At 41.2% G+C, this 18,024-nt stretch overlaps 1 protein-coding gene, 1 non-coding gene and 1 pseudogene across 2 annotated transcripts; all 3 read right to left on the bottom strand.

The window, feature by feature from the left end:
• Positions 1-430: 430 nt before the first annotated feature.
• On the bottom strand, positions 431-558 carry LOC124900462 (small nucleolar RNA SNORA40). Its single transcript, XR_007067765.1, has one exon. It is a non-coding gene; the product is annotated as a small nucleolar RNA SNORA40 (small nucleolar RNA).
• Positions 559-2,953: 2,395 nt separating this feature from the next.
• On the bottom strand, positions 2,954-8,276 carry DEFB118 (defensin beta 118). Its single transcript, NM_054112.3, has 2 exons — positions 8,169-8,276; positions 2,954-4,020 (listed from the first exon to the last, which is right to left on the bottom strand). The coding sequence occupies exons 1-2, from the start codon at positions 8,224-8,226 to the stop codon at positions 3,707-3,709; spliced, it is 372 nt and encodes a 123-aa protein (NP_473453.1). The 5' UTR covers positions 8,227-8,276; the 3' UTR covers positions 2,954-3,706.
• On the bottom strand, positions 15,974-16,102 carry DEFB117 (defensin beta 117 (pseudogene); annotated as a pseudogene).

The following is an 18,024-nucleotide window of genomic DNA, read 5'->3' as shown; positions in this document are numbered from 1 at the left end:
GACAACTTTGGCCTAGTTCATGAAAAAACGTTATAACCAACAGAGCTGCTGTAATGTGGAATAAGCTGTGTTGGTTTCAAGCTGTGAGGCTGAAGGGCCTGTTTGGTGGTTATTGCAGAAGGTCTTTGAATATTGGATGCTGTTGTTGTTGATAGTTAAGGTCCTCCAATTCTTCAAAACCTAAGAGGCTTATGCCCCCAATGACAACTAACACCAGCTTTTTAATATAAAATTCTAATTTTACTTTTTGTGTCTTACCTCCCACTAGCAGTTCTAAATTCTGTCAAAAGTAGAGTAGTATTTAACCCATTATCTTTCTCTTCTTCTCTGATTCTCCTCAACTCATTACAGTTTGCCTTTGTGCTTATTTGCTATTGAACTGGCTCTGGCCAAGGTCACCAGTGGACCTCCTTTTTTTTTTTTTCATCATAATATCCCTTCTTATATGTATTAAAACTCATACCGAACAATGAGTTCTGGGTTGCAAAAGAGGATTTATTTTTTGCACCTGTCTATAAATCTTTGTCCACAAGTTAAACAAAAATATAAACAAGTGTAGCTGGACCTCCGTTTTGAAAGTTTCAGAATGTTCCTCAACTTGTATCTCAATCTGCCTCTAGGCAGCATTTCCACTATAGGTTATTCCCCCCTTGAAAACCTTAACTGCCTAGGGTTCTGTGATTTCACTCTTTGTTTTCTTCCTAACTTTCAGGCTCCCCCTTCTACATCATCTTTTGGGGTTCCTCTTCTGTTATTTGTCTCATTGGATTCTTCTGGGGTTACTCTTCTCTTCTGAGAATAAAAACTCTCCACATTCCTAGGAAAAGGCTGACAGTCCTATGGTCGTGATAATAAGTACATACCTTGAACTGTTTTAAACTTTTTTCATTGATCAACGACAACTTGCTTCAGTGAACACACTTCTGAAAGCTCATTGTCAGTGACAGCCTTATGCTTTGATTATGCCAATCAGCTTTGAATTCATTTCAGTGTACACACTTCTAAATTGTCATTAACCAATTCCCACCTCTGTAACCAACACAACTCCCTCAAAATGTGTTCCCCAAATGCTGTGTAAGTTCAACACTTCACTCTGGTGAAGGAGCTTATGATGGACCAGCATGGCTTTCCTGTTCTTAAGAAAGCAATCATTTCAGCATTTTGGTTTTAGACACTGAGTGATAGTTTCATCCTTTGACAATGATCTTTTTTTCTCCTTCCTCTGGTGCTGCCACCCATCCCAACAACAAGGTTTATGATCTGGACAAAAGTGTTGGTTCTGGACCTCTGTTTCAGGAAGAATACTGGTTGAGGAACCCAGGCTGATCCTCCCACTGAAAACAGTGAAAAAAACTTACTTAAAATATACAACAAAACTTTTAAAGCATCTTTAACCTTGCAAGAAAGTAAGGCCAAGAATATCAAAACCGTCTGGGTGCGGTGGCTCACACCTGTAATCCCAGCACTTTGGGAGGCCAAGGCGGGTGGATCACGAGGTCAGGAGTTCGAGACCAGCCTGACCAACATGATGAAACCCTGTTTCTACTAAAAATACCAAAATTAGCCAGGCATGGTGGCGTGCACTGGCAATCCCAGCTACTCAGGAGGCTGAGGCAGTAGAATCGCTTGAACCTGGGAGGCGGAGGTTGCTGTGAGCCGAGATTGCGCCACTGTCCTCTAGCCTGGGCGACAGATTGAGACTCTGTCTCAAAAAATAAAAATAAATAAAAAAAGAAAAAAAGAAAAAAAAGAATATTAAAACCAAGTGCAAGTGGGCACTCTTTCACAGGCAGTAACTGACGCTAGCTTTTGTCACAAAGGTACTTGCTGAATCAGGTGAACTTGAGTTTTGGTTTCCATGGCTTTGGCCAAGGTGGGGGTAAGCAGGGGAGAGAAGGCAGTGACTAGGGTCTGAAAAAATATGCGAGTCTAATAGGAGACCCCTATATAAATCTCAGTCCTTAAAGTGTTATGTATGCTGTGTAAAAATAAAGCAGATACATAAAACATTCCTTTTCCTTCACCAGAGGTTTTCAAGGAAAATTGCCTGATTATGAACCTAAGTATTCAGTAAATAGAAAAAAAATCTTCACTGAGAATTTATAACCTCAAGGTAGATCTCATAAAGTCTCTCAGCCTGAATTCACAGTACATGGGTCGTATGAAAAAAAAAATCAAGTTTAAAGTTGTCCCAGACTAGTAGTGCCAAAAAGACAGAAGAAAACAAAGGAGTAGACCTTTAACTCAGGACTCAACTAGTTTACTCAACTAAACTTCTGAGGAAAATAAACAGAGCAGAGCCCCAAATCACAAAACACACAAGGAAATAAGGCACCATGAATTAAGGTCAGCAGAAATCAGTCTAGAGATTCAGACTTTCAAAGACTTCAAATTTCAGAATTATCAGGAATAACAAGTTTAAAAAAATAATGAGACAGAAATTTCCCGTCATGAATTAGGTATTATCTAACCCCTTGAATAATACAATTAGACCTGTGAAGAAGAATTCCAATGTTAGTTGAAAGTAATATGTTCAAAATTGGAACTTAGCAGGTCTGGCAAGCATAAACTGCAGAAGCAGGTGGTTCAGATGCCTATGGCACCCATTCCTGCTTTATTGCCTCTTCTTCATCACACACTAATGGTATCATGAGGGGTTCCTATGGTTACTTAATAAAGGAGGAAAAAGCAAGGCCAGGTTTGTGGAATGGTCTGCATGACATGCTAGCACCAGACAGAAGTGCTGCATTACAGCATGATATGGCAGTGGCCCAAAAGACAGTGGTTAAGGGAAAACCTTCCAGTAGAAGGAAGGCTTGGTATGGATCTATAGTAATTCATGAACGCTGGTAATAGATTGGCTGGTTGTTTAGGTACTTGGAAAGAGCAAGATTGGAAAATTTGTAAAATGAAGTCTGTTGTAGAGTTATGTGGATGGGATAGGATGTGAAGATTTTTTTTTTTTTTTTTTTTTTTGCTATCAGAGGGAGACAAATAAAGCTCTCAGTAATCAGGTAGATAAATGATCCATCCTTTCACCCACAATTGGGGGTCCATGATTACCCTTGGATGTCCATGTGTGATCAAGGCTTGGTCAAAAAGATGGGTCTACAGAGCCATAAAAGCTTTTCGACAGCATTTCAACCCCAAAGCCACTGGGGCAAAAAGGAGTCTTCATAGCTCACACCTGGGGCGGCCAATTTCCTACAGTGAGAGATAAAACCTGGCTCCAAGGCCATAGTTAGTAGGAGAATGAATGCTTTCACCTGAAGTGTCTCCTGTTCTAGAAAAAAAGCTTTTAGTGTCATAGTAGCTACTCTCACAGATGCAAAGATTTAGAATTTTGATCATGACCACTTATGCTGCCATGAAGACAGCTGTTGAGAAGACAGAACGATACATGAAGAAATTGTTGTTGGAATAGCTAACTAAGCTATTGAAGTTGTGCATAGGTCACTAGCAAACAAGAAATACTAAAAATAGGTTATAACTTGTTGTGGAAATAATGTGACATTTCAAGAAGAGCACTGAAGAGTTTATCATTGGAAATAGTGAAAATTTTAGACTTCTTTACACAGCTGTTTCTATTAATAGAATTACATATTGGTGGGGGGTGGGAGGGTCACTGTGGTGTTTTCAGTGCTTTATCTGTATGTGACTTAGTTTATCACTCTGAGGACAGGGGTGAGTGATAGCCGAGAGGAAGTCATGAGCTATGGTGAACATTTGGAAGAGAGGTCTCAGTTCCCCTTCCCGCCTCAGACTCTTCAACCATATCTTTCTTGCTGCTTACTTCAAAGTAGTCTGTCGTGAACCTTACTGTTAAAATATCATCAATAATTCCTGGTGTTGAGTCACTCAAGGGTGTGGGAGATGTCGCAGGAACTCGCCTGTGGTCTTCATTGGATGGAATGCAGCAAGCTCGAAGATTTTTGCATGTATCTTTCACTGCTTCTCCATCTTTGCATTGTTTCCTGCAGTGCCCTGATCTGTTCCAGCATTTTTTTTCACCACTATAGGCTGAATAATAAAAGGAAAGACCATTGATTTTGGGTTACTGATGCTCTCAATTTCACTAGCATGACTGTATATCTCGCATCCTATATCCACACTGTGGATCATAATTAGATGACAGCTGCAAGACTCCCACCTCAGGTCTGGCAAATACTCAACCTCCCATTTGTCAATTTTTAACTATTCTGAAAGTGGGATGAATCTTACGATCAATGAAAAGAAACTTTAGTCATGAGGAATTGGGGCCACTTATAATGAAGCTACCTGTACCCTGTGAGTAAAGGTACCTGAGTAAAGAAAGTACATCTTTTTTTTTAGATGGAGTCTCACTCTGTCACCAGGCTGGAGTGCAGTGGCATGATCTCAGCTCACTGCAACCTCCGCCTCCCTGGTTCAAGCGATTCTCTTGCCTCAGCCTCCTGAGTAGCTGGGACTACAGGCACGCGCCACCACACCCAGCTAATTTTTGTATTTTTAGTCAGATGGGGTTTCATCATGTTGGTCAGGATGGTCTCGATCTCTTGACCTCATGATCCACCCACTTCGGCCTCCCAAAGTGCTGGGATTACAGGTGTGAGCCACAGCACCCGGCCAGAAAGTACATCTTGTTGCTACTTCAACAAGTGTGATTAAGTTATTTGCATTGGTCATATCCCATTCTACTGCAAAGTATACATTCACATGAGTATATAAAATATATCTGTGTAGTGTATGTTTATTGCAGCACAATTCGCAACTGCAAAGGTATGGAATCAACCTAAGTGCCTATCAACTGATGAGTGAATAAAGAAAATGTGGTATATATACACCATGGATTACTACTCATCCATAAAAAGGAACAAAATAATGTCTTTTGCAGCAACTTGGATGGAACTGGAGGCCATTATTTTAAGTGAAGTAACTCAGGAATTGAAAAACAAATACCACATGTTCTCACTTATAAGTGGGACCTAAGCTATGGGTACACAAGGGCGTACAGAGTGGTATAATGGACATTGGAGACTCAGAAGGGGGAAGAGTAAGAGGAGGGGGAGGGATGAAAAACTACCTATTGGGTATAATGTACACTACTCCAGTGATGGGTGCACTAAAATCTTAGACTTCACCACTATACAATTCATCCATGTAACCAAAATCCACTTGTACCCCTAAAGCTATTGAAATTAAAAAAATAAAAAATTATAAACCAAAGTATAAAATAAGCATATGTCCAAAAATACAAAAATTAGCCAGGCGTGGTGGCGCATGCCTATTGTCACAGCTACTCAGGAGGCTGAGACAGGAGAAACACTTGAACCTGGGAGACGGAGGCTGCAGTGAGTTGAGATCGTGCCACTGCACTTCAGCCTGGGCAACAGAGCGAGACTGTCTCAAAAAAGAAAAAAAAGAAAAAGAAAAAAAGTAGATAATAAGAGAAGAAAGTAAAACATACTTTATGTGGGATACATACTATAAGCATTATGAAAATACAAAAAAAAGATAAGCATTATGGAGAGAAACGAAGCAGGGAAGGGGTTTAGGAAGTGTGTGATTAGAAGGGAAATAGTGAAAGACTTCCCTTGAGGTTTGAGAAGGAAGAGAGAGGGCGAGCTACGAGACTAACTGGGGGCAGAGTATATATCAGGCAGAGGAAGCAGCAAGTGCAAAGGCTTAGAGGCAGGACCTGTCTCAAAGGTTCTGAAAAACAATAAGGTAGTTATGGTGAGTATAGAGTAAGTTAAGTGGAGAGTAACTGGAGAAAATATAATGGGAGTTGAGATCACATAGAATCTTGCAGGTCTTTGAAAGAAAGCCATTCAGAACTTTTGATCACAGGATGATGAGAGAAATGCAGATTAAAACAACAGCACGAGGGAGGCTGAGGCGAGTGGATCACTTGAGGTCCGGAGTTTGAAACTAGCCTGGCCAATGTGCTGAAACCCCATCTCTACTAAAAATACAAAAAGTAGCCAGGCTTGGTTGTGCGTGCCTGTAATTCCAGCTACTCGGGAGGCTGAGGCAGGGGAATCGCTTGAACCCCCGAGGCAGAGGTTGCAGCAAGCTGAGATCGCGCCATTGCACACCAGCCTGGGCAACAGAGCGAGACTCTGTTTCAAAACAGAAACAAATACAAAAAAGCAACCACAACAGTAAGAGGTTATTTTATACTCATCAGCTGGGTGTTTGAAGGATTATGGTGATAGAAAAACCCTTGTGTATTTTCGGTGAGAGGGTAGGGAGATATCTCTGTTCCTATAAATGTCACTGATTTCTATTCTTCTTCCCCAAATGTAGGGGCTTTTTAAGATAAAGCATCAAGACTTTATGCTTCTTTCATTATCTTAACTCTTTGCTCCAAGAGGATGGCTCCAATTTATCACTCTTAACACTCAGACTTGAAACCCCAGATCATGTAATATTTCCTTCACTTCCCATATGCTGAGTTTTTATAACTTGTGGATTTCATGTACAAAATCTTTCACATCTGTCTCTTTCCTAGTCTCAATATCTCCACTAGCACTCAAAGCAGACACAATTGCTTTCAAAGTGATCACACAGAATTATTCCTGTTTGTGTCTGGAATTGTAACTGAAGAATTACTAAAAACCCCCAGAGTTGGCAATTTCTGCTGGCAGTGTCCTTTAAGATACACAACTTCTGATTACTGACTTCTGGTTACCCAGAATCCCTTGGGGTAGGAACACAAGCATAGGAAGAGCCAGCAGCAGGAGTTTCATGGTCCCTGGGAAACAGGAGAGGTTTCCCTGTTTCCCTACCCTGAACGCCAGGGTAGACCCAGGCGTTCAGAACGCTGTGTGCAGTGGGAGTCTGAACAAGAGTTATTGGCCTCTCTGCAATGAGGGCAGAGGAATAGAGGAATTAATGGAACAAATATATATTTTTAATTTTCTTGCCCACCCCCACCAGACTTACATTTAACTTGGTTATTTGCCCTCTAGGAATCTATCCTATTTAAGCCCATATCCATATATGTAAATATATTAATGTTTGTACAAGCATATTCATTGATGTCTTGTTCGAAAATTAAGAAATGTCTCAAATGGCTATATATGACTTTATATGGCTTATCCTACAGCAGAACTATACAACTTTACAAACAATAAGGCAGATCTTTAGATGGTGACATGGAAAGATGGCCACAAAATAATAAGTGAAAGAAGAGTGCTGCATAGGGCCGGGTGCGGTGGCTCATGCCTGTAATCCCAGCACTTTGGGAGACCGAGGCGGATGGATCACCCGAGGTCAAGAGTTTGAGACCAGCCTTGCCAACATGGTGAAACCCCATCTCTACTAAAAATACAAAAATTAGTCGGACATGATGGTGCATGCCTGTAATCCCAGCTGCTTGGGAGGCTGAGGCAGGAGAATTGCTTGAACCCAGGAGGCAGAGGTTGCAGTGAGCTGAGATTGCGCCACTGCACTCCAGCCTGGGTGACAGATTGAGATTCCATCTTCAAAAAAAAAAAAAAAAAAAAACACAAGAGTGCTGCATAGCCATGCAGGGAGTGTGCTTACTTCGTTATAAAACAGAAATATTTAGATTCATTTTTATGTAAGTTCGATCATACATTGAAATGCACCTTGAAAAACATAAAGGAGAAACAGGCTCTCTTCACCAGTGATTTCAAAGTTCTGGTCATGCCTTTAGATATACTTAAGAAAGCAGTGATTATGAAAAGCTTAGATTTTCACTGTAGAAGGAAGAAGAAAAGCCAGTTCTGTCTTCCGTGTAACAGCTCTACCAGTGTTTTCTGACTTGTTCACCAAATTCTAGAATATTAGAAAACAAAAAGAACCTCATTATAGCTATAGCAGGACTTTTAGGGCCAAGAAAACATAGCAAAGTGGGCTGCAGGAATCATTTTCAAAAGCTGGCACAATCTGGAAAGAGAACAGATGTGAGCCGAGCTTTCCCCTAGTTTCTTAGGCGGCAACTTGGAATATAGAACCAAGGACAACTCTGGATGGTGGGACTGCCCCTGTCTATTGAGGATAACTTGCTCTACTCCCAGGTTTTACCCCAGCCAGGAGCATAGTCCCAGTGTGGGAACTGTGGAGCTGCCCATGTTGGGGAGTACCGTGACACATTGGAATTTTCATGAGCCAGAACCCACTATACCTCTATTTTTGTATCTTCCCTGACCTCTGATTACCTGGGATCACTTGGGGTAGGAGCACAAGCATAGGAAGAGCCAGCAGCAGGAGTTTCATGGTCCTTGGGAAGCAGGAGGTGGTAGATCCAGGAGTTCAGAATACTGTGTGCAGTGTGAGTCTGAACAAGAGTTTTATTGGCCTCTCTGCAGTGGGGGCAGAGGGATGGGCACAGAACCAGCCGGATATCTAAGAGCTTATCCATGCATAACATCAGTCTAGTGTGTGGCACATAAGCTGAGCATTTGATCCAGGCACTGGGAGGGCATGCAGAGGGTTACAAGTCACAGGTTTTGAGGAGGTGTTTGGAGCAATGGAGAGGGAAGATTCACACTGGGACATCTTCCCTAGCTTTCCCCGATCTCTCATTAGGGCTCAGCCCTTCTTCACAGCCCCTCTCACTCTAGCATAAACCTACTTTTGAATGGTCTACTTATCTGTGTGTCTCCCCGCACCAGCCTGTGAAATTCCTGAGAGTAGGGAACGTGTCTTTCATTTTTGAGCCCCCAAGGCACGAAGCATGCTCTCAGTGAAGGTTTGTGGAAATAAACGATAATGAACACATGTCAATCTATAAGCCAAATCCCTCTCTTACATATGTGCCCAACAGGGAAAATGACTTGCCCAAGAAGTCACTTGCTGCAGAAGTTTGAGGGAGATCATTTATAAGACTCAAAGGGGGATGCTACCCAATGTCATTAAAAAAAAAATTCCCTAGCTGGGTGTGGTGGTGGGTGCCTGTAATCCAAGCTACTCAGGAGGCTGAGTCAGGAGAATCGCTTAAACCCAGGAGGTGGAAGTTGCAGTGAGCTGAGATCGCACCACTGCACTCCAGCCTGGGCAACAGAGTGAGACTCTGTCTCAAAAAAAAAAAAAAAAATCCCTGCTGAAGACAGATCTACAATAATTTGGGATGTTACCTTTGACAACGGCACCATGAGGGTCATCAGAGGTCTGGGAGCTGTCCATGAAGACCCCAACATTTAGACTTGCCTTTGGGATGTGGAACCTCGATGTCACCCCCAGAGTCAGCCTAGGTCCTGCATTGCTTTAGTTGCATTTTCATCGTGTTTCAACTTTTGCTCCCTCTTGTTTACTCGGCTCTAAAAGTCTCTGTAAAGCTTTTACAGAGGAGGTTGCTGATTTTTCTCTTCTGGAATTGATAACTTTCACTGTGAGAATAATTGATGGGAATTAGCAGGGTTGCCATGTGATTGAGGAGACTTCTCTTCTGGATGGAACCATGTGGAAAGCGTAGCATGGTGGTGGGCTATTTTCAAATTAATTTTGTTTTATGTTTTTATTTTTTTGAGACAGGATCTCGCTCTGTAGCCCAGGCTAGGGTGCAGTGGTGCGATCACAGCTCATTGCAGCCTCAAGCTCCTGAGCTCAAGCAATCCTCCCACCTCAGCCTCCTGAGTAGCTGGGACTGCCCAGGTATTCACCACCATGCCCGAATATTTAAAAAAATTTTTTTGGGAGAGACAGGTCTTACTATGTTGCCCAGGCTAGTCTCAAACTCCTGGGTTCAAGTGGTCCTCCCTCCTTGGCCTCCCAAAGTGCTGGAATTACAGGCATGGGCCACTGCACCTGGCCTCCAAATTAATTTTAGATTAGTATGTTCTAACAGGCAGAACTCTCTTACTATGGAATTGTTTCCCAGAGAGGGAGGGGGTACTCTATAACTCATTTTTCAAGCAGGGTCTAAGTGATTAAATAGGATGGATTTCTATATAGAATAAAGAATGTCTTTTCTAGTTCCTTCTAAGCATACAAATCTATGTTCTTAATTTTATGAATGGTTTCTCTACATGTCCTGATAAGTGCAGAGATCCCTGACCCTTTCTAAACTGAAGAACTTGAGAAACACCTTTTTTCGCTCTTGCTACAGAAAAGCAGGAAAATCTGGATTACCCCTAACCCAATTCACAGAGCCTGATCTCATATCTGAGACGGTAGTGGTGGTGGTGGGAATGGAGAAGGGCTGTAAAAAAAAAAAAAAAAAAAAGGCCTGAAGCGGAAGGACTCATCACAGGGGAGAAGCTAGGTGGGTGTAGTCCATGTAGTCCATGGTGTCCCGCGAGTCCCTGGTCCACTGCCCACAGCCAGCCACTCTTGTCAAGGGATAAATGCAGTCCATATCCATTAAGAAATATACCTGAACTTTCCATTGCTGTTTACTTATTAGATTTTTATTATGCTGAAAGCTGTTTTCCTTCTTCTTCTTCTTTTTTAAGAGACAGCGTCTCACTCTGTCACCCAGGCTGGAGTGCAGTGGTGAGATCTCAGCTCACTGCAACCTCCGCCTCCCGGGTTTGAGCGATTCTCCTGCCTCAGCCTCCGAAGTAGCTGAGACTACAGGTGCACGCTACCATGCCCGGCTAATTTTTTTATTTTTAGTAAAGACGGGGTTTTGCCATGTTGACCAGGTTGGTCTCCAATTCCTGACCTCAAGTGATCCGCCCGCTTCAGCCTCCCTCATACTGTTGTTTTAATCTGCATTTCTCTTATCATCCTGTGATCAAAGGTTCTGAATGGCTTTCTTTCAAAGGCCTGCAAGACCCTATGTGATTTAAATTCCCATTATATTTTCTCCAAAGTGCTGGGATTACAGGCGTGAGCCACCATGTCCGGCCAAGTTCTTATTTTTTTTTTTAACTGCTTTATTGAGATATAATTAACAAACAACAAACTTCCAGTGTTTAAAGTACGTAATTTGATAATTTTGGCACGTATATACTCATGAAACTTTCATCACAATCAAGAAACTGAACATTTCTACTACCCCCAAACATTCTTCATGTCCCTTAGGAATCCCTCCCTCCTGCCTCCCCCAGAAGACCTCTGATCTATTTTGTAGATATAACTATACATTAGTTTGCATTCACCAGAATTTTATATAAGTGTAACCATAGAGTAGGTACTCTTTTTTTTTTATCTGGTTTCTATAAGTCACTGGCATTATTTGAGATTCAGCCATGTAACATGTTTCACCAGTTTACTCCTTTTATTGCTGAGTAGTATTCCATTGTATGAGTAAATCACAGTTTATCCATTCGGACATTTGACTTGTTTCCAGTTTTGACTATCACAAATGAGGATGCTATGAACATTCATGTACAAGTCTTTGTATGCACATATGATTTTTGGTCTTGTGAGAAAAATACCTAGGAGTAGATTGGCTGGATTGCATGGCAGGCATGGTTTCCCAGAGAGATAGGGGGTATTCCATAACTTTAACATATTAGGAAACTCTTTAACATATTAGGAAGCGGTTTTCCAAAGTGGTTGTATCATTTTGCATTCTCAATGTATAAGGGTTTCAGTTCCTTCATATCCTCACCAGTACTTGGTATAGTCAGTCTTTTTAATTTTAGTCATTCTAGTAGTTGTACAGTGGTATCTGTCCAAGGCTGTGGGGGGCCCACCTCTTTTTTTTTTTTTTTTTTTGATACGGAGTCTTGCTCTGTCGCCCCAGGCTGGAGTGCAGTGGCACAATCTCGGCTCACTGCAAGCTCCGCCTCCCGGGTTCACGTCATTCTCCTGCCTCAGCCTCCCGAGTAGCTGGGACTACAAGCGCCCGCCATCATGCCTGGCTAATTTTTTGTAGTTTTAGTGGAGACGGGGTTTCACCATGTTAGCCAGGATGGTCTCGATCTCCTGACCTCGTGATTCGCCCGCCTTGGCCTCCCAAAGTCCTGGGATTACAGGCGTGAGCCACTGCGCCCGGCCGTGGGGGCCCACCTCTTGCATCCGCATGGCCTGGATGTGAGACATGGAGTCAAAGGAGATTATTTTGGAACTTTAAGGTACAATGACTCCCCTGTTGGATTTCAGACTTGCATGGGGTCTGTAGCCCCTTTGTTTTGGACAATTTCTCCCATTTGAAACAGGTGTATTTACCCAATGCCTGTACCCTCATTGCATCTAGGAAGTAACTAACTTGCTTTCAATTTTACAGGCTCATGGGCAGAAGTGACTTGCCTTGTCTCAGATGAGACTTTGGACTTGGACTTTTAATTAACGCTGGAATGAGCTAAGACTTTTGGGGACTGTTGGAAAGGCATGATCATGTTTTGAAAAGTGAGAACATGAGATTTGGGAGGGACCAGGGGCCAGGGGTTTGTCTGTGTTCTCACCCAAAATCTCATCTTGAATTATAATCCCCACGTGTCAAGGGTGGGACCAGGTGGAGGTAATCAGATCATGGGGGCAGTTTCCCCCATGCTGTTCTCGTGATACTGAGTGAGTCTCACGAGATCTGAGTTTTATAAGCATCTGGCATTTTCCCTGCTTGCACTCACTCCGTCTTGCCGCCCTGTGAAGAAGGTGCCTGCTTCTCCTTTGCCTCTGCCATGATTGTAAATTTCCTGAGGCCTCCCCAGCAATGCAGAACTGTGAGTCAATTAAACCTCTTTCTTTTATAAATTACCCAGTCTCGGGTATTTCTTCATAACAGTGAGTGTGAGAACAGACTAATACAGCATCTCATTGTGGTTTTAATTTTTTTTTTTTTTTTTTTGAGACAGAGTCTTGCTCTGTTGCCCAGGCTGGAGTGCAGTGGCATGATCTCGGCTCACTGGAACCTCCACCTCCTGGGTTCAAGTAATTCTTCTGTCTCAGCTCCCAAGTAGGTGGGATTACAGGCACCCACTACCATGTCCGACTAATTTTTGTATTTTTAGTAGAGATGGGGTTTCACCATATTGGCCAGGCTGGTCTCTGACTCCTGACCTCCGGTGATCTGCCCACCTCGGACTCCCAAAGTGCTGGGATGACAGGCGTAAGCCACCGCACCTGGCTGATCTTAATTTTTAATTCCTTAATTAATAATGATTTTGAAAATCTTTCCACATGTAAAGTTGTTTTGGCTATACTATATCATTTGCATTTTCATATAAATTTAAAAATGTTTGTCAATTTCTGCATAAAATCTTAGTGGCATATTAATGGCAATTGCATTGAATCTATAGACCAATTTGGAGAAAACTGATGTCTTCACAATATTGAGTTTTCCAGTCCATAAAAATGATATTTCTTTCCACTTACTTAGGTCTTCTTAAATTGCACTCCACAATGTTTTATAGTTTTTAATAAACAGGCCTTGCTTACTTACTTTTTGTCAGATTTTCCCTTAGGTATTCCATATTTTCGGTGCTATTATAAATTATTATTTTGAAAACTTAATTTCAGATTGTTTATTGCTGACATATAGAAATACAACTGATTTTGTATATCGAACTTGTAGGCTACAACTTTGCCAAACTCACCTATTTGTTCTAGTAGCTTTCTCCTACACTCAGTGGGATTTTCTAATTTTTATTTTATTTATTTATTTGTTTATTTTTGAGATAGAGTTTTGCTCTGTCGCCCAGGCTGGGGTGCAGTGGCACGATCTTGGCTCACTGTAACCTCCACCTCCTGGGTTCAAGCGATTCTCCTGCCTCAGCCTCCCGAGTAGTTGGGACTACAGGAGCGTGCCACCACGCCCAGCTAATTTTTTTGTATTTTTAGTAGAGATGGGGTTTCACCGTGTTAGCCAGGATGGTCTGCATCTCCTGACCTCGTGATCTGCCTGCCTTCACTTCCCAGATTGCTGGGATTACGAGGGTGAGTCACCACACCTGGCCTGGGATTTTCTATGTAGAGAATTATGTCATCTGTTAATAGAGTTTTACTACTTCCCTCAGCCCCTGAGTCTTGATGCCTTTGATTTCTTTTTCTTGCCTTATTGCAGTCAGTGTTGAATAGCTGTGGTGAGACCAGACATTCTTCAGGAAAAAGTATTATGTCTTTTCCTATTTAGTGTGATGTTAGCTGTAGGCTTTTCTTATATGTTCCTTTTCAGGTGGAAAAGGTTCCCTTCTATTTTAGTTTTATTTTTACCAGAAATAGATTATTGGAATTGTCAACTTCCAATTTTCTGTGTCTACTGAGGTGACTACATGATTTTTCTTTTTTGCTTCATTAATACAGTGAATTACATTGCTTGATTTTCTTCTTTAAAAAAATTTTGTAGAGATGGAGGTTGCCCAGGGTGCTCTTGAACTCTTGGCCTGGAGTGATTCTCCTGCCTTGGTCCCTTTTTTCTTTCACTTGAAACACGAATAACTTTACTTTTTAAATTTATTTTAATGGATAAACATTGTATATATTAGAGCATACAACATGATGTTTTGAAATATTAATATGTATACATTGTGAAATGGCTAAATCCAGCTTATTAACATATGCATTATCACATATGTATCTTTTTTTGTGGTAAGAACACTTAAAATCTACTCTCTTATCAATTTCCAAGTATATAATTTGTTGTTATTAATGATAGTCACAATGTTGTACAATAGATCTCTTGAACTTATTCGTCCTGTCTATGCAATTTTGTATCCTTTGACCAACATTTCCCCAATTCTCCCCACCCCCCAGTCCTAGTAACCATCATTCTACTCTCTGCTTCTATGAGTTTGACTTTTTTAGATTTCACATGTAAGTGAGATCATTTATTTTTCTGTGCCTGGCTTATTTCACTTAACATAATGTCCCCCAGGTTCAAGTTTATCCATGTTGTTGCAAATGAGAGGATTTCCTTCTTTCTAAAGGCTGAACAGTATTCCCTTGTGTACATGTACCACATTTTCTTTACCCATTCATCTGCTGTTGGACACTTAGGTTGATTCCATGTCTTGGCTATTGTGAATAATGCTACAACATTGCTTGATTTTTGAATGTTAAACCGACCTTCCACTTCTGAGGCATGAAGGATTATGTATTATGCAGGATGTATTTTTTGGTCATGATGTATTATTATTTTTATATTTTATTGGATTTGATTTGCTAAAATTTTGTTTAGAACTTTTGCTTCTAGGTTCAGGATGAACATCACCAGTAAATTTTTCCTGATTAATCTAGCTAGAGGTTTATCAATTTTCTTTCTTCTTCCCCCAAATTCATCTTACTAAAATTTGGCTTCTGTACTCATCCTGTCACTGCATGGCTAAGGTCACCTTCTTAAAACCCTCATAGTTATGTTTTCTTTCTTTCTTTCTTTCTTTTTTTGAGACAGCTCTGTCCCCCAGGCTGGAGTGCAGTGGCGCTATCTTGGCTCACTGCAAGCTCCGCCTCCCAGGTTCACGCCATTCTCCTGCCTCAGCCTCCCGAGTAGCTGGGACTACAGGCGCCCGCCACCATGCCCGGCTAATTTTTTTGTATTTTTAGTAGATACGGGGTTTCACTGTGTTAGCCAGGATGGTCTCAATCTCCTGACCTCGTGATCTGCCCGCCTCAGCCTTCCAAAGTGCTGGGATTACAGGCGTGAGCCACTGCCCCAGCAGTTATGTTTTATTGATAGCTTCCTTTGCCTTTTGGCTCGATTTCTCATCATTCCCCCCCCCCCAATCCAATTTATTTATCTGAAAGGAACAAGAGAGTATTTTTCATGGAAAATACTGAAAGTCTTCGGGATTTCCTTCTATTTAATTAGTTTATCATTGTTTTTGTTTAGAATTAAATATTGGTGGGGATGGGACACCATGATATTTTCAGTGCCATGAGCAGCTCAAGGTCTTAATCCAGCCCTGTGAGAACAGAGATGAGTAACAGCAGACAGGAGGTCATGTGCTTTAATGGACCCATGAAAGAGAGACTCGAATAGTTGACAATCCCTTATCCGAGAAATCCCCCGGTTTTTTCTGCTTCACTCTAAATTCTTGTGGTCCATAATGATTATTACTGATACATTTGGTTATTTCCAAAATTATTACCAAAAGTTTGGGTTTTTGCGGTAGGTGATTGGGGATGGTCTCTGTGGTTAAGAATCTGTGTTGCTTGGAATGCAGCAATAGTCACCATTTTTACATGGCTTTTTAACCTGTTCACCAGGTTTGCAGTTTTTCCTGCAGTGTCCTTTTATGATCCAGCAAGATTTTTGGCTCCTGCAGACTGAAAAGAGTAAAGAAAGGTAATTAATTCAAGATATTGATGCTCATAGTCATAACAATGAGAGCCACTGTATCTGTAATCTTCACAACGATCCTGCAGACTGAAGAGAATTCATTAAGGAAAATTATGTAAACAAAGCCAGGTTTGGTATATATCATATTTCTAAGCATTTTACCATCAATGTCCAAGGAACTTGCTAGATAGCAGAAACTGGGGTTATTTGGCAAGATTATGTGAAATTAGTTGTATAAAGCAGGCTGATTTTTATTTTTTATTATTTTTTATTTTTTCGAGATGGAGTCTCAGTCTGTCACCCAGGCTGGAGTGCGGTGGCATGATCTCGGCTCACTGCAACCTCCGCCTCCCCAGTTGAAGCGATTCTTCTGCCTCAGCCTCCTGAGTAGCTGGGATTATAGGTGCATGCCACCATGCCCAGCTAATTTTTTGTAGAGATGGGGTTTCACCATGTTGCCCAGGCTGGTCTTGAACTCCTGACCTCAGGTGATCCGCTCGCCTCGGCCTCCCAGAGTGCTGGGATTGTAGGTGTGAGCCACTGCGCCTGGCCAAGGAAGCTAATTTAATTCCACCTCAGCTGAATTGTTTACATTTCCCATACCACAAGTATAGGAATTTCAACTGAAATTGGGTCCACAATTGTCACTTAAAATGTCTTAAAAATGATTGCGCTAGGCAGGAGGAAACTTTTAGGGGTGAAGGACGGGTTTATACCATAGATTGTGGTGATGATGGTTTCACAGGTGTAGACTTATCTCCAAATTCATCAACTTGTATGCATTAAATATGTACAGCTTTTGAATATCAGTCATATTTCAACAAAGTGTTTTAAAAAACAATTGCTCCATGAGGCAGCAAATGGAAGAAAATCGGTGTTTTAACTAGAGATCTCAGAACCATAGTTGTAGTAGATTATTTGCTGGTTCTCACAATTAAGCATACACCACAGTCTCCCCCAGGGGCTTGCTAAAACAGGTTTCTGGGCCAGCCCTCAGAGTTTCTGATTCAGTAGATCTGTAATGGGCTTAAAAATTTGCACTTTTAACAGGTTTCCAGGTGATGCTGATGCTGGTGGTCGGGAGAACCACTGTACTATAGAAAAGTTTATATCTTAGCCAGAATATCCACACACTAATAAATTCTTAAGAGGCGACAACCATTTTTTAAGTTTATAATTAACACTTAATAATTGTACATATTTATGGAATACAATGTGATGTTCCAATATATATATAAATTGTATAATGATAAAATTAGGGAAATTAGCATATCCATTATCTTAAACATTTATCATTGCTTTGTGATGAGAATATCCAAACACCTCTCTTCTATCTATTTTGAAATATACAATATATTATTGTCAACTCTGGTCATATTACTATGCAATAGACCACCAGAACTTATTCTTCCTATCTAACTGTAGTTTTATACTTACTGACCCGTTTCTCACCTTCTTCCCTTTGTTCTGCCTTCCCCATCCTCTGTTAACCACTATTCTACTCTCTACTTCTATAAGAACAACTTTTTAGAGTCCACATATGAGTGCAATCACATGGTATTTCTTTTTCTGTGCTTGGCTTATTTCACTTAACGTAATGTCTTCTAGGTTCATCCACGTTGCCGCAAATGACAAGATTTCATTTTTTTTTATGGCTGGATAATATTCCATTGCGTATATATGTCACATTTTCTTTATTCATTCATTTGCTGGTGGACACTGAGGTTGATTCTATGTCTTGGCTATTGTGAATAGTGCCGTAACAAACATGAGTGCACATATCTCTTTGACACACTGATTTCATTTCCTTTGGATATATACTCAGTAGTGGGATTGCTGGATCATATAATAATTATATTGTTAATTTTTTGAGGAACCTCCAAACCATTTTCCATAATGTCTGTACT

The sequence above is a fragment of the Homo sapiens genome, chromosome 20, assembly GCF_000001405.40.
Source record: "Homo sapiens chromosome 20, GRCh38.p14 Primary Assembly".
NCBI lineage: Eukaryota > Metazoa > Chordata > Mammalia > Primates > Hominidae > Homo > Homo sapiens.
The sequence above is the reverse complement of the archived record's forward strand: the minus strand, read 5'-3'. Positions and strand labels throughout refer to the sequence as shown.